Source organism: Homo sapiens, chromosome 16 (genome assembly GCF_000001405.40).
Source record: "Homo sapiens chromosome 16, GRCh38.p14 Primary Assembly".
NCBI classification, from domain to species: Eukaryota; Metazoa; Chordata; class Mammalia; order Primates; family Hominidae; genus Homo; species Homo sapiens.
Genome location: NC_000016.10, coordinates 35,011,550 through 35,037,346, shown reverse-complemented (window position 1 = coordinate 35,037,346; position 25,797 = coordinate 35,011,550). Strand labels below are relative to the sequence as shown.

Here is a 25,797-nt window from a genome sequence, read left to right as displayed (position 1 = left end):
ATTTATAACATTTTGTGTACTAACAAAAACAGCTCCATCTATGTTGCACAGCAATGGGACCACATGGCATGTATGGAGTTTGAATAGAATTCTTACACAAGGCCTGAGTGGAAAAGTGTTATGTGCTTATTGTAAGTATAAATAGAAATTGTCTGAATTAATGTCATAATTATGTTGAATTTAAACTTAGATTTACACTTATATATGGGTTAAATCATTAAATATGATGGATTGACCAGAAATTTATTTTCTCTTCCTTCTGAAATCTCATTAGTATTATTCATAAAATAAACATTATACACAGGACCAGGAGACAAGATTGATGGCAGATCATTCTGAGTCAATGATGCAAGGTGAAAAGCTGATAGAGGAGTTGCAACTGACATGGAAGCACAACTTTGGAGCTGACAGGGAGTGACTTGAACAGAAACAAGTGATCTTCTTTGTTTTGAAGAACCCAACTCAGGCTCCAAAATCAGAGGCACATGGTACCTGGGAAGGTAGGGTGAAATATACAACTGAAGCCAGCAAGGTCAACTGTAAATCTGTGCTTAGAGCCCCAAGTCCACCTCTCTTCCCATCTTAGAAGGAATTTGGATGTGTATTCTCTGGATATTTTATACCTGAGGGTTTCTGGGCTCAGAACTACTAGGGCTAAAACCTGGGAAATGGGAATAAATTGCACACACAAAGTGAAACTGCACCTTCCTTCCCAACCCTGCTTCTAGAAAGCCAGCAGCCGTGCTTGCACTGCCCAGGCAGAAAACTGGGAGATCCTCCTTGGAAGAAAACTAAACCATTGCAAAGAAAATACCCACATATAATACACTGAGTTTCCCCAAAAGAAAAGCTGGCTTGACCTCCAAATCCCCACAATGAGACCCCTCAGTGAACAAAGGTCCTGCTTCCAAATAGAGAAAGGCAAAGACTACCACACATCTCAGGGAAGCCTCCAATGAGAGATCAAAACAACAGGAAAAAGGAATTCTGGGACCAGTAAAAATTAAGGAGCAAAACTTTTTAAAAAATCTTAAAATACCCTTAAGGAGATTTTAAAAATTCAATAGAAGGGTTAGCGCAGAAAGTCAAAGAATCTCTAAGAAGCAGAACAAAAGACAAATTGGAAAATAGGAGGGGAAGAAATTAAAGATCAATGCAGAAATACTGCTATAAGAGGCCGAACATTTGAATCATAAGAATACTAAAATAATAATAAAACAGAGAATATAGGACAATTCTCTAAAAGAGATAGTCTGCAGACTTAATGGCTGCAATAAAATAAAAGGTCCCCACAAAGCTGTATTATACAATTTCCGAATCCCAGGAATACAGAAGGTCTTAAAAAGCTCAAAAATGTAAAAATTGGTTACATATGATGTATCACACAATGGCAATAGTTTCAAGTACAGTATAATGAAAACACAATAGGGAAATGTCTTCAGAGCCATGAAACTTAGTTTTCACTCTAGAATTTTATACTCTATAACAAAAGAAGGGTTTGGAGAGAGGCTAGATCTCTATACATGTGTGTCCATGAGCCTTTCCTCAGAAACTGTGCTCCAGCACCACTGGGGAGTAACACAAGGCAGAGGGCAATGCACAGTCTAGGACTCAGGGATCCAACATGAGTGGGCGCATAAGAGTTCAGAGAGGGCTCCCAGGGAAACAGGCCCAGGGCAGCCTAGGGAAACACAGTCTATCCTGGAGGAGGATAACCAAAGGCCAAGGAAAGTTCCTTCAAGAAAAAACACAGAACATATGTTTTAGTAAATAAAACATTATTTTTGATAGGCATGTGACAAATGTTACACCACTTGGGGAAGAATAGCTGTTAAAAAAGAGGCAAAGGAACATAGTCAGAAAATTAATTCCACACACAAAATAATGAAGGAGGTGAAAACAAAGAGGCCAGCTGGGGGCTAATGGTCGTATTTGGCTTTATGAGCTATCATGGGCTAGGAAAAGGGGGATTATCTGGGAGAAGTGCAGAAGTGTTCAGATTTCAGAAATATTTAAGAGAAACAATGAAGGATGCACAAGGAGGAGGCACAGTCAGAACACTACATGACTCAGCAGTGAATAATATGTGCATAGTCATAATCATGTAAATATCAATTAGTGATTTAATAAAAAATGGGTTACAGGTGGAAGAAACGGGGAGGGAAATAAGGTCACAGTGGAGTGAGGAAGCTACGCTTTCACCTGCTATGACAGGAAGTCAGGAGAAAGTGTTGGAGAAAGTAGACTCAGCTATTTTTAATTTTATTTGAATACAAAAGATTAAATATTTAAGGCAGATATTTATATCACAACCAAATTGTGATATAATATCACAATCACCCTTAAAAATGGGCACAGTAAGCTACAGACTTTCCTGTATAAATCTGATACTTAGGAAAATAGAAGAGATTTAGAAAGTCCATCAGAAAAGGATCACACTAACAGCACCGGCTCCCTGTTAAATTTTTAAGGAATCATGACAGACTTTTAATTCAAACAATCAATTTCTTAACTTTTCAAAAGTTTACTTACATAATATAGGTGAGAGCTGCTCCTCTTTTCTTGCACTAAGAATGAAAAAATAACTAATCAATTCTGGTATAAATACCATAGAATAAAAGTAGTTGCTAATCATCTGATTATCACTATATAAAATGAGATAAAATTCCATTTTAAAAAATTCTTACCAACAAAAGTTATCATTTAAATAATCCGGCATAAAGTAAAATCTAAAAATATAGTTTTATTTTTGACCTAACAGATGTTCTATTACACAAAAATGAAAGAATCCCCATGTACACAAGGAAAGGCAAAACAAATTAGGCAACGTGTATGCCCTCCAAATCTCATGTTGAAATGTAGTCCCCAGTGTTGGAGGTGGGGAAGTGTTTGGATCACGGGGGCAGATCCCTCATGAATGGCTTAGCGCCATCCCCTTGGTGATGAGGGAGTTCCTGCTCTGAGTTCATACATGATCTTCTTGGGTTTTTGTTGTTGTTGTGGTGGTTGTTCTGAGATGGGGTCTCACTCTGATGCCCAGGCTGGAGCACAGTGCCATGATTATGGTTCACTGCAACCTTGACCTCCTGGGCTCAAGTGATCCTCCCACCTTAGCCTGCGGAGTAGCTGGGGCTGCAAGCACGAACCACCACACCTGGCTAATTTTTAAATTTTTTGTAGAGACAGGGTCTCACTATGTTGGCCAAGGCTGGTCTCAGACTCCAGCCTCAAGTGATCTGCCTGCCTCAGCCTCCCAAAGTGCTGGGGTTACAGGCATGAGCCACCACACCTGGCCTGATCTGCTTGTTTAAAAGAAGGCGGCACCTCCCACTCTCTCTTGCTCCTCCTCTCACCATGTGAGAGATGACTTCACCTTCCACCATGATTATTAGTTTCTTGAAGCCCTTGCCAGAAGCAGATGCTAGCACCACACTTCCTGTACAGCCTGTAGAACCGTGAGCCAATAAAGCCTCTTTTTTTATAAATTATCCAGTCTCAGGTATTCCTTCATAGAAATGCCAAAATACAGGACAGATGAGAAATTTAGCTAATAAAAAATTTACCTATTGTATATCTGAACCCCTAAGCAGTAGTGTTTTCTGATTCTACATTTACACATAGCTTACTTTCATTACCAAGATCTAATAGCTGACAGCTCTAAGAACCAGTTTCTGGCCAGGAGCCAGTCTTTAGATGCACTAGAATCCCTGCAAGCATCCAATGACTGATCGGTCGTCTACTAATATGTTACTGAAAAAATAAACAGGTCTTTACACAACTGAAAAGTAGCCTAGCTTAACTCAAATGTTAACATGAGTGTGCCAACCTAAATGAACTTGGTATCCTCAGGACACAAAATCATTTCATTCTAATACAGGTCCAAAGAATAAAAGCTACAAGGGGGACTTGGGCCACACTTTGTTCCCTACAATGCCTCCTTCTTTGAAGTTGAGCTGGTCTCACTGACACACATTTCTCACTGCTGAAGAGACAGGGGCATGGGGTAGGTTTTCTTCCACTTCCATACACTCTATGTGTGAGAAGCCCATGGCTCTGGAAGAAACTGAGAAATACAACAATCCTAACCAGAAGTTACCAGCTTGAGACAGGCAAAGTCCATACAAACTATGAAAATGCAGGGGAGAAACCCATTTTTTATTGTGCTGCATTACTTCAGATGTTATTATAGAAACCCCACTTCTTGTATTCTTGCTGTTGAAAACAACTGAAAAACATGGTGTATGGCTTTTTTGAAAAAACAGTAAGATTTAGCAGAATGTTACAAAAAAATAAGCAGGAGTACAGAAAACTCCTACAGTTCTAATTCTCATCCTAAAACAAGCAGGATGTGGAAACTTTACACTAGTTTCACACACTAAGGCTAACCTGGAAAACAGCACAGGCCATGTTTACATTTCCATTACATTCGAATGAAAAAGTTCTGAGTAGCATGAACATGGATGTGACAGGCTCATGCGGTTAGAGCACTGTGTAAAAAGGAGGCCAAAATCACGGATCCAATCTAGAACAACAGATTCTTTTGATTTGTTCAAGTGAACTCCAAGCTGTAGCCTAAATCTTATCACTCATCATTAACATGTACTCTTTGGAGCAAGGGAAAAATGGGAAAGATGTATGAAGAAAAAGGCATACATCCATGACTACTACACCAAATCATGTGGCCAATTAATTGCATTGATAAAAATGTCATCAAACGTGGAGACATAAAGCCTGCATGTTTCCATGAACAGTGTCAACTAAAGGAAATTATGTCACATATTAAAATAAGACAAGTAAATATATAAAAAGTTGAAATTTTTTTAACTAATATCTGAGTTCCTCTAAATACTTTCTGTAATACATGAAACAGAAAGTTTGTAGTTTTTTGCTTGGAGGAAGAAACAATATTGTCTTACCACTCATTTGATATTTTCTCAGGAAGAGTGTGCTTTCCCCTGGACAGTCAGAAGCAAAATCTGTAGAGGAAGAAGGAAAAATGTGATAATTTAAGTGAGTAGAAAAGATTCTTTTTAAAGCTACACATCCATTTTAATCACTTTTAAGAGTCTTGAGAAAAGTTTTTAGTGATAAATGTAAAGAAAATAAAGGCCACAATGTCCCAATTCTACTGGAGAATGCAAAAATCACAGAAGTTCTCCACGTATGTGGAATAAAACCAGGCTGTGTCTGGGACTTCATTTTAGAACTTGCACCTAAATAAACTGATGCCACTTTTAGATGAATCATACACACGCCCTCCTCCTTCTACTTATCAAATATACCCACCCTCCTCTATGCTGCTATTACCAGCGCATTTCAGGGAAAGTCTCAAGCAGCAAGTGATGCTGTGGTCAATTACTGTCAGACACCGGCTCAATATAGCAAATATGTTAAAATAAAGAGCTGTTTTGGGCAAAAAAACAATTTTTTAAAGAGACAGGGTCTCACTCTGTTGCCCAGGCTGGAGTGATGCAATGGTGCGATGGAGCCAGCATAGCTCACTGAAGCTTCAAACTCCTGGGCTCAAAATATCCTCTTGCAGCTGAGACTATGGGTGCAAGCCACCATACCTGGCTAATTTTTAACCCTTTTTTTTTGTAGAGACAGGGTGATACATGAGACGTACATGAAAATGTGTTGTAAATCCTAAAGAATGATATAAAGAGTCTATTTTGGGCTCTCATCCAACACTACCCATCTACTACCTAGTGTGTAAAACCACTCCGAGGCCTACCTTACACCACCAAACGAGGAAAAACTTTCACAAGTACTTGCATGCTTTGTGTATAAAGGTACAATTCATTCACATACTATCTTTGTTCATTCTTTCACGATTTTTTAATATTCCGAGAGTACAGTACTTTCCAGCAACAAAGCCACATTCATCATGAAGCTTAATTATTCAAACGTTTAAATAAATTAAGAGGTCAACCAATGTTTAAACAGAAGAGCTGTAAGACACTTCCTCTATAGCAATGAAATCTGTAGCATACATTTTCTATTTTGAAAACTTAGTTTCTGCCTAGCCTTGGGGGATGAGAAAGGGGCCAGAACTGGGCACTGGGGTAGGGAGGAGGAGAGAAACCACCAGATGCTACAGGGAAAAAAAATTGGTTGCAGGGGGGAGGTGGGGGACGTAGGCACGAGGCAAGGCCAGTCCTCCTGCCTGGTGCCTGGGCCTAGGAAACCTGGCTAGGGGCAGGAGGGAGGAGTCCGAGGCTGTGGATGCCTCTGGGGGGACCTTGGGACAGCGGCTGCCAGAGGCTCACCTGAGGGCAAACACTATCAGTCGCCTCCTTACTTTTGGGCATCTCCTGGTCACTGATGTGTTGCAGGTCATGGCCCTCGCGGGCTCCGAAATCCGACTGGGCAGGCTCCACAGCAGTGGGGTGTGGGGATTTTTTTTTTTTTTTACTGCCACCTCTGCCTCCGTGAGGTTATAGCTGCAGGGCGGTTCCGCCCACAGCACCCTGCGCTGGCTTTGCTTGGGGCTGGCATCAGGGAGCAGCATGTTCCATCTGCGGCGCCTCCGCTCCTCTCTGCCTTGGCCTACACCTTTGCTTGACGCTGCCTCATAGATGTCAGCGCTGCAGGACAGCTCCCCAGACCTCCTGCGCTGGCCCCGCTTGAGGCTGGCGTTGGTGCCCAAGCAATAGCTCAGCGTGGGCTATCCCCATGGGGTAGCCCGGCTCCTCTCCAGCAGCTTGGGCCTTCCCTTGCTTCCAAGTCTGCAGAGCTCAGCACTTCCACCTCTTCCCAGGAAAGGCACGCTGGCAGGGCCAGCCCCGGCTATGGGGCTGCACCCCACTAGCAGCCCGCACCCCGCCTCAGCCGCCTCCCCTGAGCTGACTTGTCTGCAAGGGTCCCTTGGGAATCTGCTTGGTTTATTTAGAATGGGTCTAGATGCAACAAGCCTGAGAGTTGTGACTGCGGAGAAGAGAGCACAGATGGAGCTCCTCCTCCTCCCACCGCTTCCCACCAACTGAAGGAGGTTGCCCTGCCAACCGCCAGAGCTCCCTCCCGGTTCCCAGGAACCAATCAGGCCCAGAGACCCCTCCACGTGCCCCCGCCCCCATTGTGATGTAGGAGCCTAGGCACAAGGCTCACTAGGCCCTGCCATGCCGGCAGCCCCGCCCCCACCTTTCATTCATTACTGGCTGCTGGGAGCTTTCAGGTTTCTCCACTGTGAGGAAGATCTTATGTTTTCAACAAAAGAAGAGGCTTATGTAAAAGAAAACTGGGCCGGGCGCGGTGGTTCACATCTGTAATCCTAACACTTTGGGAGGCCAAGGCGGGCGGGTCATGAGGCCAGAAGATCGAGACTATCCTGGCTAACATGGTGAAACCCCGTCCCTACTAAAAATACAAAAAAATAGCCGGGTGTGGTGGCACGCGCATGTAGTTCCAGCTACTCTGGAGCTGAGGCAGGAGAATCGCCCGAACCTGGGAGGCGGAGGTTGCAGTGAGCCGAGATCGCACCATTGCACTCCAGCCTGGGCGACAGAGCAAGACTACGTCTCAAAAAAAGAAGAAAAGAAAAGAAGAGAAGAGAGGGGAGGGGAGGGGAGAGGAGGGAAAGGGAGGAGAGGAGAGGAGAGAAAACCACCACATAATAAGATTTTAAATGTGATCATAATTGCTTTTTTTTGGTGGGGGGTGGGGGGACGGAGTGTCGCTCTTGTTGCCCAGGCTGGAGTGCAATAGCGCGATCTCAGCTCACCATAACCTCCACCTCCTGGGTTCAAGCGATTCTCCTGCCTCAGCCTCCTGAGTAGCTGGGACTACAGGCATGCGCCACCACGCCCAGCTCATTTTGTACTTTTAGTACAGACGGAGTTTCTCCGTGTTGGTCAGGCTGGTCTGGAACTCCCGACCTCAGGTGCTCCACCCGCCTTGGCCTCTCAAAGTGCTGGGATTACAGGCGTGACCCACTGCAGTCGGACAGGTAAGCACTTTTAATTAATTATGTACTAGGTGCATAGCTCCAGACAAAGAACAATGCCTAGAATTAGACTTCTGCTTATGTAGAAGGATCAAGTATAAGGGCATGAATTTGTAGACAACTAAAGCAAGTATCAGAAGAAAAATTTTAACTTAAATGATCTGCCAGGGGCACTGATTAATTCGAAACAAATTTCTAAATTTTGGAGACATTTTTATTTTATCTGTTATCTTAAAACTATCTATATATAGCTATATATAGGATATATATATATGATAGGGCCTCACTCTCGCCCAGGCTGGAGTGATTTATGTAATCTTTCTCATCCTCGGTTTATCTAAAAAATATGAATAATAACACAAATTTTATAAACTTGCTCTAAAGATTAAATGAGGGAAATATAATACTGCTCCTTCCATATATTGAATGCTTACAAAATTACAGGCATTGTGTCTAGATTTTTACATATGTACCATACGTAAGCCTCATAACAAGCCCATTTTTAAAGGTGAGAAAACTGAGACTCAGATGAGCTAAAAACACATTCACGATCATGTAGTAATAAGCGATGGAACTGGGATTCAATCCAGTTCTGTCTGACTCCAAAGGTGGTGCATCATCTTAACGAAGACCAAGTTATACCCAGCACATGAAGGTACTCAAAAGATGTGGATTCCCTTTTACTATCCCCTTATGTGTGAATTTCAGTGGCTTTCACAACCTCAGAACAACCCCACACACCCTCCCAGGTTGCCTTTCAGTGGTTCCATTCTTCCTGGGGATGATTAGGAATCTGCATATTTAGACTACTTCTTCAATCATCTCCTTACAAACATGTGTGGATAAAGAAATGAAATTTTCTAGGCCGTAGGTTACTAACTGTGAATTAATTGTCTAGTTTATTTATTGCAAATTTATTTGCAATACATTTATTATATGAAAAAAAATCACACTGTCTACTGAATTTGTGCAGAAAGATCCCAAAGTACACTGCAGGAACATCTTACTGACTACACAGGAAGGCTAGCCCAAACACACAAAGCCAGAGTCCCTCCAAAGGTCAGGTGTGGGGTGGTTCTTTCCTGTAATCCTAGCAATTTGGAAGGCCAAAGTGAGTGAATCACTTAGGGCCAGGAATTCGAGTCCAGGCTGGCCAACACAGTGAGAGCCAGTCTGCATAAAAAATTACTTTTTATTAGTATAATTAAAAAGAGTACCTCTAACATTGCTTTAGGATAGAGAGCTCTGGTCTAGAATTCAAGATATGGAGTTACGAGTCCCAGTGTGGTTACTTAACTACTGTTGTGACTGTGGGCAGGTTATATAATCACTGTGATTCTCAGCCCTTTCTTTGCAAATAACCAGCATTGGAATAGATGACTTTTTAAAGCCCTGACCAGCTCTACCATTCAATGATTCTGTATCAGTGGATACTTGTCAAAACCATAATTTACTTGTCTAGTGATGCCCTGAGGTGTTCCTGTGGTCACAGGAAATGTGGAAATAATATAGTCATATTGGTCATAGGAATTATGACCATATGGTCAAATATGGTCGTAGGAAATAAATTTGGCTTTGCTTTTAAAATGGGTGATTTAACCACATGGAATCTATGACTATTTTGAGAAACAACATGAGACAGTCAATGTGATGCAGCCTGATGTGGTCCCAAAGCGTTTCTGCAGGATAAGAAACTCACTCACAAAAGCATTCACTTCCCCGTGAATATACCAGTGAATCCTCTAGCCACAAAAACTTACAGTCCATATATGTTGTAATGTCTAATACTTGTGTGAATTACTGCATTCATAACGCACTCCTTGAAAGGGTATGGCCTGCTTCCCAAAGTCCTTGGTACTGGAAGCCCAACTTCCATTCAGTAACTGGAAAGCCCTCTCCCACCTTCTCCCATTTCCTTCCATGACTGCTGGATTATGAAGGAACTGAAAACCACAATAAGTGAGGACTGGTTAAAGAAACAAGTGATGTTTATCCTGAGAATGACTGACAACATTTCAGTGAAAAAATGAGAGTAGTATTTGAATAACTGAAGGTCTACCGCAGAAGAGGGTTTCAGCTGGATGTGTTCTGCAGACTCCTAGGATCCACGGCATGGTAAGCCCCTAGTGAATGTTTATTGAGTGAATAAATCCTGTACTGCTCCCACAGCATGGACCAAGACCATGGGCCGCCATGGGGTCCTGCGGCTGAACTGGGCCCTGGCAGGAGCAGTCCCCTCACTCTCCTTTGATCAGAAGGCTGCATGTGTTCTACATTTCAGAAGTAACCCTGTGAACTGGGACATCCAGACTCCAAATGATGAGTAACATTTGCTTCGAATTTTTCAAAAAGCTTTATTCATCCAACAGTTGGGTTATTAAAAGTTACCTTGGTAAAATAAAGTACTTTGGCTTCACTTTCTATAAACAGTTTCCTCAAACACTGACTATGTGTTACATCAGAAATCAATGTGTTCTGTCTACTTTGTCTCTGTTATCTCAAGAACCAATTTTCCTTATCTTCAATTAGTCTTAGTGTGATATGTAACAGAGTCAGGTGTTATCACTATTATCTCAAAAGCGTGTTTCTTTTTTTATTTTATTTTTTTATAGAGATCAGGTCTTGCTCTGTTGCCTAAGCTGGTCTCGAACTCCTGGCCTCAAGCAATCCTCCTGCCTCGGCCTCCCAAAGTGTTGGGATTATGGGTGTGAGCCACCACAGCCAGCCTGAAAATCTGTTTCTTAAGGAGTAATGCAGAACACATAACATTCTTAAATATACCCCAGCCTTCTCCAGCTAAGCCAAATTGTTTAAGAGTTCTATAATATTTAAGATTCAGGATACTGTATTTCAACCTCCCTAAAAACAATGTATTAAATCTTAGAATGCATGTGCCATAATGTCACTTTTCTGACAAATAGTAAAACATTTCATGAGCTTGGTACAATAACGTGAAATAAAATGGTAAATTTTAAAAAATTAAAATATACATCCTGCTTTTTTTTTCAGTTACATATGTCAAAAATAGTAACCTAGACCAAGACATCCATTTCAATCAGTAGACATTTCAAGCCACAAGATTTAACAATAAACAATATTGGGTGTAGGTAACAATCCCCAGCTGGATCAGGGAAGCCCTAGCTCTACGTGGTATTACGGTATAAAGATAGTGTCTCTCTTCACTGGCAGAGAGGGATGGCCTATCCCTGAATACAGGATGGGGTCAGTCTCACTGCACTTTCATGAGCCATTTTATCAACCACACTTTGCATTTCTTTCCTAAGCTAAATACACATCTTTTTGGGAGAAGACACAGCACTACATGGTACCAAATACTAACCAAAAAAATCATACAAAAAAAAACCAGATAAATAATAAAGCATTCAACTGCTAAAACACAGCAACATTAAGCCACCTCAGTTTTCTTTTCCCAATGCTTGCAACACCCTCAATCCCTCATCTTATGATGAGGGAACAACATCTTATGATGGGGAACAACATGTGGTATGACATGGGGGAGTTACATCTCAACACTATGGAAAACTTTTAGAGCTCAACGTTAATTTCCAACAGAAGTAAACAGCTAATGAGTCTTTGAAACTTTTTTGTTCAATGATGCACTGGCAAAAATAGCTCATCCTCTTACAATATTTTCTGTTATCGCTGTAGTTATGTGAGAAAGAGATTTTCTATTTGTCTCAACTGAGAAGACTTCACTGTCTGATTCTTTCTTCAGGAACCATGCACCTCCTTGCACTGTCACTCAGCTACTCAGAACATCTCTTGAACATCTCTTGAACAATTCTGTTGTTGGAAGTTTATAATGTCAGGTGCCAGCACACTTGAAATGCGTGAAAATGAGGTGATACACACAACACTTCTGTTCAAGTTTTGATTCAGCCTGCCTCAGTGTCCTGGCCTCTTTTCTCACTGGATACAATGGACAGGCCATCAGCATCAGACTGTGTTCCGAATAATCAGAGGACATTGTGTTTTGCTTTCATCTGAAAAGATAATAAATAAATCAGGAAACCAGAAAAAGTCAAAGCCATGAGTGATTATGATGCCAGATACTGGCTATTTTTCTCAGATTAACTGTCCAAATGACCAGTGCTACCAGACAGTCACAATCTTGTCTGTGGGAATGTGAGAGAGAGACAGACCCGCTTACAGTAAAATTTAACAGTGTTTTCCTAGTTCCTTCCTGGCTCTACTGATGTCACAGTCCTAAGATTAATTCATCAAAGTTTCATTAGGGATGATCACAGTTTTTAAATGGGCTTTGTAGAAAAGTTAAATCATTTTAAGAAACAGCAGCTCCTATTGTATTGAGGAGCTAACAAGTTTTGGTGGCTCTTCTGTTAAAGTAGCATAGATTTCTAACATTGTTTGATCTTAAGACAAACAAAACATTGGTTTTTTCATTTTCCTTAGAGTATGATTCATGAAATACTTTACATAATTTTAAATGTTCAAATTATAAACAAACCTTTCTAATACAAAATACAGAAAGTCCAATCGCATACATTAAAAGTTTGCAATCACATTATAGAAACACCATCTTTTTTTTTTCTTTTTTTTTTTTTTTTTTTTTGGAGAGTCTCACTTTATCCCCCAAGCTGGAATGCAGTGGCCTGATCTGCAACCTCTGCCTCCCAGGTTCAAGAGATTCTCATGCCTCAGCTTCCAGAGTAGCTGGGATTACAGGCACCTGCCACCACGCCCGGCTTTTTTTGTATTTTTAGTAGAGACGGGGTTTCGCCATGTTGACCAGGCTGGTCTCCAACTCCTGACTTCAGGTGACCCGCCTGCCTCAGCCTCCCAAAGTGCTGAGATTATACATGTGAGCCACCGTGCCCGCCCGGAAACACTATCTTATTATTGCACAGCTTTAATAATGTAAAATATTTACTCACAACTGCTTATAATATTGTCAATAATTTATGATATTTTGTCTGTAACTTGTTCCCCAGTCATTGGGCTACAGACCACACTAGAAAATAACTGTCCACATAGTGGCTACAAACATTTAAATTTTAAAAAAAAGCTTCTTACCGACAGGTACTTGTACACACAAAGCATTCTCTCTTTCCCAATAGAACTTCACATTGCATTGAAATAATCCACTTATTTATAGTAAAACAAATCTTGCTTAAAAAAATTTACCTAGCCAGATTTATTCAGAAGTAGATAAACTTCATTTAAGGTTAGGGTTATTATATTGTCTGTTGCCCACATAATCTTAACATTATAAATACGTCAGAGGAAGACACTGTCATAATACACAGCATTTGGACTACTAAACCACTTCTTTTAAGATGAAGAGTTCTAAAAACATAGTTCAAGTGTCTAATTCGAGCAAAACCAGCGAGTTTCAGTGGAATACTGCAGGAGACGCCCTTTCTCCCTCTAGGGATTACTGGGTTTTAGTAGAAAAGAAGTGAGGATTGCCTGGGCTCTTTCTGTTCCTGAGGCCGTTTTGCAATCACCTTTTTTTTTCACTTAAAAGGTTGCAGAGTTCTCAAGAACAGTCAGACTCACTGTTGAAGGACGCGAGTCCCGTGTGTTGAGCTAGTTTAGACCATCTCCTTGTTCTCCTGGGTAACCTGGCGAATGGACGCTGCCTGCTATGCAGGCTGCTGAGGTGCGTTGTCCAGACTGACAATGGGAGGGCTATTTTGCGCTCTTTGCACCCCAGGGTACCCAGAGGGATGGTGCAGCAGCCAAAACTTCCTGGGATCTGGGAAAAGCCTCTGTTCTGAATGATGGAAATCTCATTGTTCTTTATGGGAAGCTCCTGGGGGTGAGCTGCAGCTTCCTGGTTCCAAATATTGGGGTCGCCATTCATTATTTGGGCTGTCAGATCCTTCCGGAATATTTCAGAGAACTTCAGGCCATCATCCCCTAGCAGAGCCATGGACTGTTCCACCGCGGCAGCTCGCCTTGGGGGAGGTTGTGAGGGTGGTTATTCCACATGTGAGTGCCAAGTGTACCTGGAGGTTGCCCTTAGTGGTGAAGGCCCTACCGCAGATGGCGCCGCTGAACGGCTTCTCCCCAGTGTGGGACCGGGCGCGGGCCTGCGGAGGGCCCTCCTCTCTGCTGAGGAACTGCAGGCTGAAAGGGGACCCTCCTTGCCCACCGGCGGAGGTGGCGGGGGCGGTGGTCAGGTCCGGGGCGCCTCGTGGCCAGGGACGGGCGGGCGGGCTGGCTGTCCAGCCTCTGGGTCCTGAGCGCTATTCCCTGGGCTCCTCCAGGTTGCCCAGGTCGGGGACTTGGGGCGGAAGCGCTTGCCCAGCACCAGGACAGGTTCTATGCCCCGGTCTTCCGCAGCGACAGGTTGGGCGCTGGCCCTTGCAGCGCTTCGCGGGGGCGGACAGCAACAGGAGACATTGGCTGTGGCGCGATGCCGACCAGCAGGCGGGGAAGACACTGCTGTGAGAGCTGAGGCAGAAGAGGACTTGACAGGCTGGGCGCCGAGCTCACGAGGGGCCCTGGCTTCAACGCTGAGGCGCGGACGCCAAAAAGGCTGCGAGAGGCGAGACCCGCGATGTTGGCGGTAGGGTCGCGGGTCGGTTCCGCGCTGGGGGCGGCCAAGGATAGGAGTCGGGAAGAGCAGCTGGAGAGCCGGGGGCGCTGGAGCCGGCGCAGGCTGGGACAGGAACTGGGAGCCTGAGCCCGCGGGGTTGGCTGGGGCCCGAACGGAGAGCCGGAGCGCCCGGCGCAGGTTCAGCGGGGGCAGCTGGCTGGCCAGGGTGGACGCGCTCGGGACTGAGCGAGGGCGGCAGCCGCGGCGGTGCCTGAGGGCCCCGGGGCTGCGGATCTGCTGCATGAGCTGTCTCTGGGGGCCCTGCCTGCGCGGAGCCAGGAGCCGCTCCAGTCTCCCGGCACAGCCACCCCGCAGCCTGCCTCCAGGCTCCCTGTAGGAACCGCGCCGGCGCCACCTGGTGCTCAGCGACGTCTCCAGCTCCTGCGGTGCTGGGCGCTTGGGCCTCTGGCGGCGCCCAGGGCAGGTCCCCCATCCCCGACGTCTCTGCTTCTACAGGCTTGGCATCCTTCTCTGCGGGCCTCGCCTTGCCTTTCTAGCGGGCTCCTCAGAGACCACTCTCTTGGCTTGGTCTCTGGGCGAGCTGGTAGGAGAAGGTTCTGGAGTCCTCGGCGGGTGGGGCCCTAGGCTGTGTGCAGTGAGATCAGCAGGGGCGGGGTTCAGCGGCTCTTCTGCTCCAGGAAGTCCAGCTGCTGGAGCTCCGCACAGTTTCTCGCTGAAGTCGATCTCCGGCCAGCTGCTGCTCTCCACCTGCTGTCTGGGTCGTGGGGCTTCCCCCAGTGGCCTACTGGGGAGTCCCCACCGGGAGCAGCAGCTCCTCCTCCATCTTGAGGAGTGGGGCTTGGCCTGCTTGCACCCAGACAGCCTGTCATTGGTGCCTCTCAACCATCTACACGCACACATATGCACACACAACAGCTCACTCTGTGACATGTGCATGCGTCACACACACATACATATGTTCAGACACAAGCTGGTTGTCTGAAAGATTGAACAGCTCAGAAAACTACCAAGAAAAAAAAATAAACAGGGGACGTCTCTGAGTTAACAGAAGGGAAGATAAGAAATGAGGTTGCTAGAATTGTTTATGTAATAAATATAAATCAAAAGATATATATTTTAATACATCCAATATTATAGCAAAATTCTACCTTATGCTCCAGCATCCCTGCCTTCAGACCATCATTCAGAGCATGGTGACTCTCCGTTTATGCTGAATTCCAATGATACGGGAAATTTCTCATTCAAGGCAAATTGGAAGCAGCGATCACATATCTCTACCTTTATTAAATAGTCACACTGTCAGGAGATTGACCTTCACTAAAGATGGAACTATTTTATATTAGAATATGGTATACTTCTGACATGATTTTAGTGTATAATGTTTAAGAAGCAAAGAAAAATAAACCAACAGTTACAATTCTTTAAATCTGATTACTTCAAAAAATATACGTATTCATCCTGGAAAATTCACTTGTATGAGTTTCCCCAAAATGCTGAATATGTGAGACATCGCTTCATTTAATTCTCCTTCTTTCTCTATGTAATATATTTTAGAATTCTAGCTGTTAATTTATTACTGTTTTATGTTTTTCAAATTACAAAGAGCTATCCGTAACCGGTATTTCAGAGTATTCCCGGAAAGACTACAAAGCCATCACTAATCTTTTAAAAAAACAATGACTCACTAACAGACGGCATTTTGACATTCATGTTGCTCTATGGTAAATACTTTAAAGACACATTTCTGGGCATCTCATTATCCTTGTGGATAAATAGTTCCAATTTTTACTTGAATTACTCCACTTCATCAAAAAGTGAAAGATAAATTAGGAAAATTATTTCATTTTAAGAAGCATACTGTCAATAATATTAATTAGAAAAAGAGTCAATCAAAGGTTAAAGAGATTACTTGTACTTTTAACAAATAAAATCATTTGTGCTTTATGCAAGTTTGTTCATACAGAAAAATCGGAACAATATCTGTTAGGGAAGATGATGATAATGCCAGTACTCATGATGACACACAGCAATGGTGAGAAGCAACTGAAACCAGAAGAAGACTGGAAAAAGGGCGAGGGGACACCACTCCTTAGTTTACACTTGGAAGTAGAAGCTTATTTGCTGAGGGTTTATCCTAAACTCATCATCCTAAGATTTTTGTTTCTATAAATTGAAATATAATAAATATAATGAATTGGTTCTGAACACCCATTAGAACAATCACACTAAATAATTAATATAATTTTTAAGAAAAATGGGATAAGTGAAAAATATGTGAAGGCAGTTTAAAGAGAAATATGACAGTCTTATTAAACAACATACTTATTTTATAAAGTGTTATAAAATGTTCATCTTAACTTGTAGTATTTCTGTACACTTTTGCTTGACATATGTTGTTAAGTCAATATGTGAATCACAAAATACATAAAATCTCCTTTCTCTTAATGCTTTTATATTGACATGAGTTTATTGTGCTATAGGATGAATGTTTATGCCCTTCCCCCAAAATTCATATGTTGAAACCTAACGCCCAGTGTGATGGCATTTGGAGGTGGGGTATTTGGTAGGTGATTAAGTAGTGAGGGTGGAGCTATAAGAGTTTATAACAGATTTCCCTAAAATTTAATAGCTTGGTTAAATAATTTTATTGTCTGTCATGGTTTCTATGGGTCAGAAATTTGAGAGCAACTTGGCTGTAGAGTTATGGCTTGAGATCTCTCATGAGTTTTAAATCAGGTATTATGGACCCCCTCCACAGGTCTGCTTGACTATCCTGCTTGAATTTTCCACAGAACTAGGGACCCAACACTCTTAGTCAATTTTTTGAAATAGTTTTAGTAGGAATCTTACTAGGTCTTCTTTATACAACTGGTAAAATTTGATTATGAATTCATCTGGTCTTGGGCTTTTTCTAGTTGGTAGGCTTTTTATTACTGATTCAATATCACAACTCATTGTAAGTCTGTTAAGGAATTCAATTTCTTCCTAGTTCAATCTTGGGAGGTTGTCAGTTTGCAGGAAATTTATTCAATTCTTCTATATTTTCTAGTTTGTGTTTGCATAGAGTGTGTGTGTGTGTGTGTGTGTGTGTGTGTGTGTTTAAATCTCAGAAGTTTTGTATTACTGTGGGGTAGGTAGTAATGTCCCCTTTGTCATTTCTTATTGTGTTTATTTAGATCTTCTCTTTTGAATCTTTTGGATTTTTTCATTGGTCTAACTAGCAGTCTATTAATCTTATTTATTCTTTCAAATTATTTCCCATTATTTTCAAAGATTTTCTAGATTTATTCCTTAATCTTATTCTTTACCCTAAAGTCATTCAGGAGCAGGTTGTTTAATTTCCATGTAATGGTATTGTTTTTAGAGATTTTCTTAGTATTCATCTCTATTTTTATTGCACTATGTTTTCAAAATGTGTTTGGTATGCTTTTGGTTTCTAAAAATTTGCTAAGGATTGTTTTATGACTGAATGTCTGTTCAATTTTAGATTATGTGCCATGTGCAGATGAGAAGAAGGTATATTCTGTTATTTTGGGGTGGGGAGCTCTCTAGAAGTCTATTAGGACCATTAGGTAGGTGTTAAGGTCCCAAATATCTTTGTTAGCTTTCTTTCTGGATGATCTAATATTGTCAATGGGGTATTGAAGTCCCCCACTATTTTTGTGTGATTATCTAAGTCTCTTCATAAGGCTGTAAGATCTTGCTTTATAAATCTGGGTTCTCCTGTATTGGGTGCATATATATTAAGGATAGGTTTTTTTTCATTATGTAATTTCCTTGACTTTTTTGTTCTTTGTTGGTTTGAAGTCTGTTCTGACTGAAATTTGAATAGCAACCCCTGCTTTATTAGTTTTCCTTTTGCTTGGTAGATTTTTCTCCATCCCTTTATTTCAAGCCTATGGATGTTATTGCATTTGAGATGGGTCTCTTGAAGTTATAGTTGGATCTTGCTTCTTTACCCAAGTTGCTACTCTGCCTTTTAACTGGGGGGCATTTAGCCTGTTTATATAAGTTTAATGTTGATATGTGTGGATTTGATGCTGCCATTTTGTTGTTAGGTGGTTATTATGCAGACTTCATTGTGTGGTTGCTTTATACTCTCAATAGTCTATGTATATGAGTGTTGTGTGTGTGTTTGGTTTTTGTGTGTGTGTGTATTTTTAGTATAAACAGGTTTTCACCACATTGGCCAGGCTGGTCTCGAACTCCTGACCTTGTGATCTGCCTGACTTGGCCTCCCAAAGTGCTGTTGGGATTTCAGGCATGAGCCGCCATGCCCAGCCGCATGACCACATTTTAAGAGGTGTATTTACAAACATGTACAGAAAAAAGAAGGAAGTTGTTAACAGTGGTTATCTCTGGCTGGTAGAACTACATGTGACTTTTAAAAAATACATGTTTTAAGTTTTCTAAAATGAACACATATCATTTACTAAAAAAAAGGTAAAGGAAAAAACTCAGTGGTATATGTATCAGTATATATGTAATGCTTTCTGCTTGGATACTGTTATGAAAACCTGAAATATCTTGAAATATGATAACAGGTTTCTCATGTATCACATAAACTCCAATGAAAACTTCAGCTTCCAGCTCCTTGTTAACTACCATAATATGTACATGAAACCTATTCACAGAACTCTGGAGGTTAATGCTTTACTTTGAAGGAAAAAAAAATCATTCTACAACTTAACAGGAAAAGGATATCCTCTCTGTAGTTTGAAAGGAAACTGGAGATAGAGCTTTATAAAAAATGCATTAGTTGCTAACCAAGAAGAAACCCATCTGAGGTGTAAGTGCATTTCACACATCAGTTCAAAAAACAATACTGCCAAGGCCTTTGGAATTTGGAGAGAAAGACTACCTAAGAAAAATAAAATATGGGGTGGGTTGTTGTAAACAAATAAGTCCAAGAACCTGATGAGTTCAGGCCACAATTGTGCTCTCATATGCTTCTTCCTGATCTATGCAGTTTTACACAGACCTGGCAGGTGATGTGCTTTGGAGAAACAGATTTGTGACTCTCAAGCCATGTGTAGTGCTGATTCCCTCTGCATACTGTCAAACACATATTGGACTTGCAGTGCATGCTGGGCACTGTTTTTTTTGTTTTGTTTTGTTTTGTTTTTTTTTTTTTTTTTTTTTTTTTTTGCTCTTGTTGCCCAGGCTATAGTGCAATGGCACGATCTTGGCTCACCGCAACCTCTGCCTCCCGAGTTCAAGCAATTCTCCTGCCTCAGCCTCCCAAGTAGCTGGGATTACAGGCATGCACCCCCACACCTGGCTAATTTTGTATTTTTAGTAGAGATGGGGTTTCTCCATGTTGGTCAGGTTGGTCTCAAACTCCCAACTTCAGGTGACCCACTCGCTTTGGCTTCCCAAAGTATTGGGACTACAGGCGTCAGCCACCACGCCCAGCCACTGGGCACTGTTCTTAAGTTTCATTCCTGCAGTTGAACTCAGGGCATCCTCAAAACCACCTGTATTAGTCAGGGTTCTCTAGAGGGACAGAACTAATAGAATGGATATATATATATGTGTGTGTGTGTGTGTGTGTGTGTGTGTATATATATATATATATATGAGTTTATTAAGTATAAACTCACACATGATCACAAGGTCCCACAATAGGCCATCTGCAAGCTGAGGAGCAAGGAAGGCCATTTCGAGTCTCAAAACTGAAGAACTTGGAGTCTGATGGTCAAGGGCAAGAAGCATCCAGCATGGGAGAAAGATGTAGGCTGGGAGGCTAAGCCAGTCTAGCCTTTTCACATCTTTCTGCCTGCTTTATATTCTGGCTATGCTGGCAGCTGATTAGGTGGTGCCCACCCAGATTAGGGGTGGGTCTGCCTTTCCCAGCCCCTGGACTCAAATGTTAATCTCCTTTGGCAGCACCCTCACAGACACACTCAGGATCAATACTTTGCATCCTTCAGTCCAATCAAGTTGACACTCAATGTTAACCATCACACCATCCTATGAAGTAGATACCACTGCTGTCCCCACTTAACAGATGAAAGAGGTGAGGCACCTTGTTCTAGCTCACATAACTAAGAAGGAGCTTTTTAGCTCACATAACTAAGAAGGAGTTTTTTAGCCAGGATTGAACCTAGGGAGTATGATTCCAACTCACATTCTTAGCATCTGTTTTGCCTGTCAAGTAGCCTTATTAGTGGAGAGAAGCACCAGAATAACCCCAGGGGGGACCTAGCCCATGTGATTTGCTTTTACAGTTTATACTTCAGTTTGCACAAAAGCATTGAACCAGGAATGATAGCACATGTTGATTAAATGGTTCTTATGAGCCAGGCATTGCCTTAAGTATTTTACAGATAACAATTGCATTATCCATTATAAGCCTAGGAGTACTATTATCCCCATCCCCACTTCACAGGTGAGAAGACTGAGTTACAGAGAGTTTAAGTAACTTGCCCAAAGTCACATAGTTAACAAGTAGCAGAGCCAGGATCCAACCCCAGGCCTTCTGATCTAGAGCTTGTACTGCTGATCTCTATGCTGTGGGATGTACTTCTAGGGAAATGTGTTGTATACTGGTTCTATGTCAAGCCTTGTTTAAAGTGTGTTATTTGGATCATCTCATTGGAAATGTCCCTAACACACTGCCAGAAAGCAGCTGGGAAGTAGTTTCTTCAACCTAACAGCTGGTTCTCTATTAAAATGTTACCAGGCTGAGCGCAGTGGCTCACGCCTGTAATCCCAGCACTTTGGGAGGCCAAGGCAGGTGGATCACAAGGTCAAGAGATCGAGACCATCCTGGCCAACATGGTGAAGCCCCGTCTCTTCTAAAAATATAAAAATTAGCTGGGTGTGGTGGCGCACGCCTGTAGTCCCAGACACTCAGGAGGCTAAGGCAGGAGAATTGCTGGAACCCGGGAGGCAGAGGTTGCAGTGAGCCAAGATCGAGCCACTGCAGTCCAGCCTGGTGACAGAGCAAGACTCTGTCTCAAAAAGAAAAAAAAATGTTTCCAAGGAAACCTAGCAGAGTGATTCCAAGAGGGAGTTTTGTGATCAGAATGACCAGTGTGGAAATAAATACTGGCTATACCATTTTTTTTTTTTTTGAGACAGGGTATTTCTCTGTCACCCAGGCTGGAGTGCAGTGGCACAATCTTGGCTCACTGCAACCTCCACCTCTCTGGCTCAAGAGATTCTCCTGGCTCAGCCTACCAAGTAGCTGGAATTACAGGCACACGCCACCACATCTGGCTAATTTTTGTATTTTTAATAGAGATGGGGTTTCACCATGTCGGCCAGGCTGTTCTCAAACTCCTGACCTCAAGTGATCCGCCTGCCTTGGCCTCTCAATCTACCACTTATTAATAAAGCTCTAGTGCCTTTTTTTCCTTCATCCCCACCCCCGACCCCCTACCCTCTCCATCATCCATCCATCCACCAAAAGAATTAGGAGAAATTGAAATGGCAGTCAAACTATCCCCAGCATGGTGAAAGCCACCAAAATCACTGGGAGCCCCCACTTTACTGGAGAGACATTTGCTGCAGGTGGCTGAGGGATCAGGAAAGAGGTGAGGCTCTTGAACGGTGCTCCTCGAAATGGGATTCCCTAGACCAGCAACATCAGCGTCACCTGGAAACATACTAGAAATGTAGCGTCTCCAGCCCCAGCCCAGACCACGAGCTCAGAGGCTCTGGGAGCAGGGCTGGTGTGTTTCATGATGCCCTCTAGGTGATCCTGGTGCACATTCAAGTTTGGGAACGACAGCCCAAGGAGATGTGGAAGACAGGGTGAGGCCCCAAGCTCAGAGCCCTGAGTGGGATACGAGTAACTTGGAAGTAGTAATAATTAGGTGGGAACTCTCTCCCTCAGTGAATTGGAGCAAATTCAGTTTTCCTTGTAAAGGCTTCACTGTCCCTTTCCTTCTGATGGAAGCATCTAGGTGGCATGACAGAAGCATCTGGAAGGGCCAGTCCTCCAGGTGAACCTCTGGAGGTAGGTCAAGTCTGGGAGCACAGACAGTTGGTGTTGCTGTTGGGAAAAGTTTAATACTCGGTCCCCTCTTTTATAGCTGTTGGAATTGAGGCCCACTAAGGGCAAGGAAGAGGCAGAGCCAGGACCCAACACCGGAACCTCTGACCACATAATCTGCCTGTCAGCACCTTTCCCCAAATCTTTTTTGGGCCCAGTTGTGTGTTCCTTGGACTTCGCTCTCTCCTCCCCTTGTGTGCATGCTCTGGAGTGTACGTGCCCACCTAACTCTGCTGGGCTTGACCTTCACTCTGCCCTGCAGAACCACCCTGAGTCCCACAAACATGATGTTCTGGAAGGCCTCAGTTCCCCCTCGGTTCCTTAGCAGCTCTGGCAGGTGCTCAGGGGAGACAGAGGCACCGAGGGGAGGCAGAAGCGCCAAGGGGAGGTGGATCAGATGAATTTGGAAAGTTCTCCTGAAGAAGAGAGTAGGGAAGAGGAGCATGGCTTGGCAGAGAAATGTGGAAAGGCAAGACATTTGAGAAGACATAGAGGTGAAACCCACTGATACTTAGAGAGGCTATTTCTTAATGCAAAGGAAAAGTACTAGTAATATAAAAACAAAACTTTCACTAAAGCATATGGGCTATATGATCCCACTTTATTTTCCAAAGATGTATAGATTTACACAAGAGTCTGGAAATCTACGTCAAAACATTTGCAGTGATTATCTCTGGATGCTGCAATTGCAATTTCTGTTTCATTTTTTTCTTATTTTCTGCATTAAGCATTCATTAAATTTTTTTCAGATATAATTCATATATCATAAAATTCACCACTTTATTTTAAAGCGTGCGATTCACTGGTTTTTAGTTTATTCACAAAGTTGCACAACCATCATCACCCTCTAATTCCAGAACATTTTCATAACCCCAAGAAGAAACCCTGCACCCAGGAGCAGTCACTCCCCAACATTGCTCCATTCCCAGCCCGAGGCAACCACTAATTACTTTCTCTCCCTTTGGATTGGTCTCTTCTGGACATTTCATATAAATGGAATCATACAATGTGTGGTCTTTTGTGACTGGTCTCTTTCACTCAGCATGTTTTCAGGGTTCACCCATGTTATAGCAGGTATCAGAACTTCATTGCTTCTTATTGCCAGATAATATTCCATTACATGGATAGACTGCATTTTATTTATCCATTTATCAGGCGATAGACCTTTGAGTTGTTTCCACTTTGGGGCTATTATAAATAATGCTGCTCTAAACACTTGTGTACCAGGTTTTGTGCAGACATATATGTTCAGTTCTCTTGAGTACATGGCTAGGTGTGGGATTGCTGGGTCATATGGTAACTCTTATGTTGAATTTTTTTTTTCTTTGAGACAGGGTCTTGCTCTGTCACCCAGGCTGGAATGCAGTGGCACAATCATACCTCACTGCAGCCTCGACCTCCTGGGTTCAAGCAATCCTCCCACTTTAACCTCCAGAGTAGTTGAGACTACAGACACATACCACCACACCTGGCTAACTTTTTCTTTTTTAGAGACTGAGTCTGACTATGTTGCCCAGGCTAGTCTTGAACCCCCTGGGTTCAGACCATCCTCCTGCCTCAGCTTCCCAAACTGCTGGGATCACAGGTGTGGGCCACCACGCCTGTCCTATGTTGAACTTTTTGAGGAAACACCGTTTTCCAAAGAATTTGAACCATTTTACATTCCTACCAGCAACGTATGAAGGACCTGATGTCTCCACACACTTGCTAATACTTGTGATTGTCTGTTTTATTATAGCTGTCCTAGTGAGTGTGAAGTGGTATCTCATTGTGGTTGTGATTTGCATCTCTCTGATGATAATAATGCTAAGTATCTTTTTAAAAAATATATTTTTACATATTTTTATCTTTAATTGACAAATAATTGTATATAACTATGGGGTATGATGTGACATTTTGACGTATGTGTACATTATGGAATGATCAAATCTAGCTAATTCACCTATTCATTACCTCACACACATCATTTTCTGTGATGAGAACATTTGAAATACATTCTCTTAACAATTTTGAAATATACTATACGTTATTTTTAACTGTCACCATGTTGTGCAATAGATCTCCAAAACTTATTCTTTCTATCTAACTGAAACTTTGTATCCTTTGACCAATATCTGATTCCCTCCCTACTCCACCACTCCCCACTCCCAGCCCCTGGTAACCACCATTCTACTTTCTAGGTCAAAGGGTTCAATGTTTTTAGGTTTCCCATAGAAGTGAGGTCACACAGGGCTGGGCGTGGTGGCTCATGCCTGTAATCCTAGCACTTTGGGAAGCTGAGGCGGGTGGATCAGCTGAGGTCAGGAGTTGGAGACTAGCCTGGCCAACATGGTGAAACCCCGTCTGTACTAAAAATACAAAAATTAGCCAGGCATGGTGGTACATGTCTGTGATCCCAGCTACTCAGGAGGCTGAGGCAGGAGAATCACTTGAACCCGGGAAGCAGAGGTTGCAGTGAGTGGAGGTCATGCCATTGCACTCCAGCCTAGGTGACAAGAGCATAACTCTGTCTCAAAAAAAGAAAAAAAAAAAGAAGAAGTGAGGTAACGCAGTATTTGTCTTTTTGTACCTGGCTTATTTTACTTGGCATAGTGTCCTCCAGGCTCATCTGTCTTGTCACAAATGATAGGATTTCCTTCTTTTTAAGAGATGAATATGTCCCCATTGTGTATATAAGCCACATTTAATTTATCCATTGATGGACACTTAACTTGATTTCCCATCTTGGCTGCTGTGAATAGTGCGGCCATGAACATGAGAGTGCAGGTATCTCTTCAACAGAGTGATTTCAATTCCTTTGGATGTATACCCAGTAGTGGAATTGCTGAATCATGTTCTATTTTTAGGTTTTGGGGAATCTTCCATACTGTTTTCCATAGTGGCTGTACCAGTTTACATTCCCACCAACAGTGGACAAGGGTGCCCCTTTCTCCGCATCCTTGGCTACACTTGTTATATTTGATATTTTTGATAATAGCCATCCTAACAGGTGTGAGGTGACAGCTCATTGTGGTTTTCATTTGCATTTCTTTCTGATTTCAGTAGCTTTAGGAGTACAAGTAGTTTTTGGTTACATGGATGAATTGTACAGTGGTCAAGTCTGAGATTTTAGTGTTCCCATCACCCAAGTAGTGTACATTGTACCCAATAGGTAGTTTTTCAATCTCTCACCCCCTCCCACCCTCCTCCTTTCTGAGTCTTTGATGTCCATTATACCATTGCATATGCCTTTGCATACCCATAGCTTAGCTTCCACTTATGAGTGACAACATGTGGCATTTGGTTTTGCAATCCCAAGTTCCTTCG

The 25,797-nt window shown here is 42.6% G+C and overlaps 2 long non-coding RNA genes and 1 pseudogene across 3 annotated transcripts in view; all 3 read right to left on the bottom strand.

The window, feature by feature from the left end:
• The window catches only part of CCNYL3 (cyclin Y like 3 (pseudogene)), a 29,980-nt pseudogene extending 22,982 nt beyond the window's left edge, over nucleotides 1-6,998 (bottom strand). Inside the window, exons 1-3 of the transcript NR_158158.1 lie at nucleotides 6,270-6,998; nucleotides 4,917-4,976; nucleotides 2,533-2,567 (exon numbers count right to left, since the gene is read on the bottom strand). The product of NR_158158.1 is annotated as a cyclin Y like 3 (pseudogene) (transcript). The remainder of the gene's footprint in view (nucleotides 1-2,532; nucleotides 2,568-4,916; nucleotides 4,977-6,269) is intronic.
• Nucleotides 6,999-10,594: 3,596 nt separating this feature from the next.
• LOC107984902 (sal-like protein 3) lies at nucleotides 10,595-14,096 on the bottom strand. The gene is made up of 2 exons (XR_005647010.1): nucleotides 13,484-14,096; nucleotides 10,595-11,946 (listed from the first exon to the last, which is right to left on the bottom strand). It is a non-coding gene; the product is annotated as a sal-like protein 3 (long non-coding RNA).
• LOC162137 (Putative uncharacterized protein MGC34800) lies at nucleotides 14,096-15,340 on the bottom strand. The gene has a single exon (XR_001752133.3). It is a non-coding gene; the product is annotated as a Putative uncharacterized protein MGC34800 (long non-coding RNA).
• Nucleotides 15,341-25,797: the final 10,457 nt, after the last annotated feature.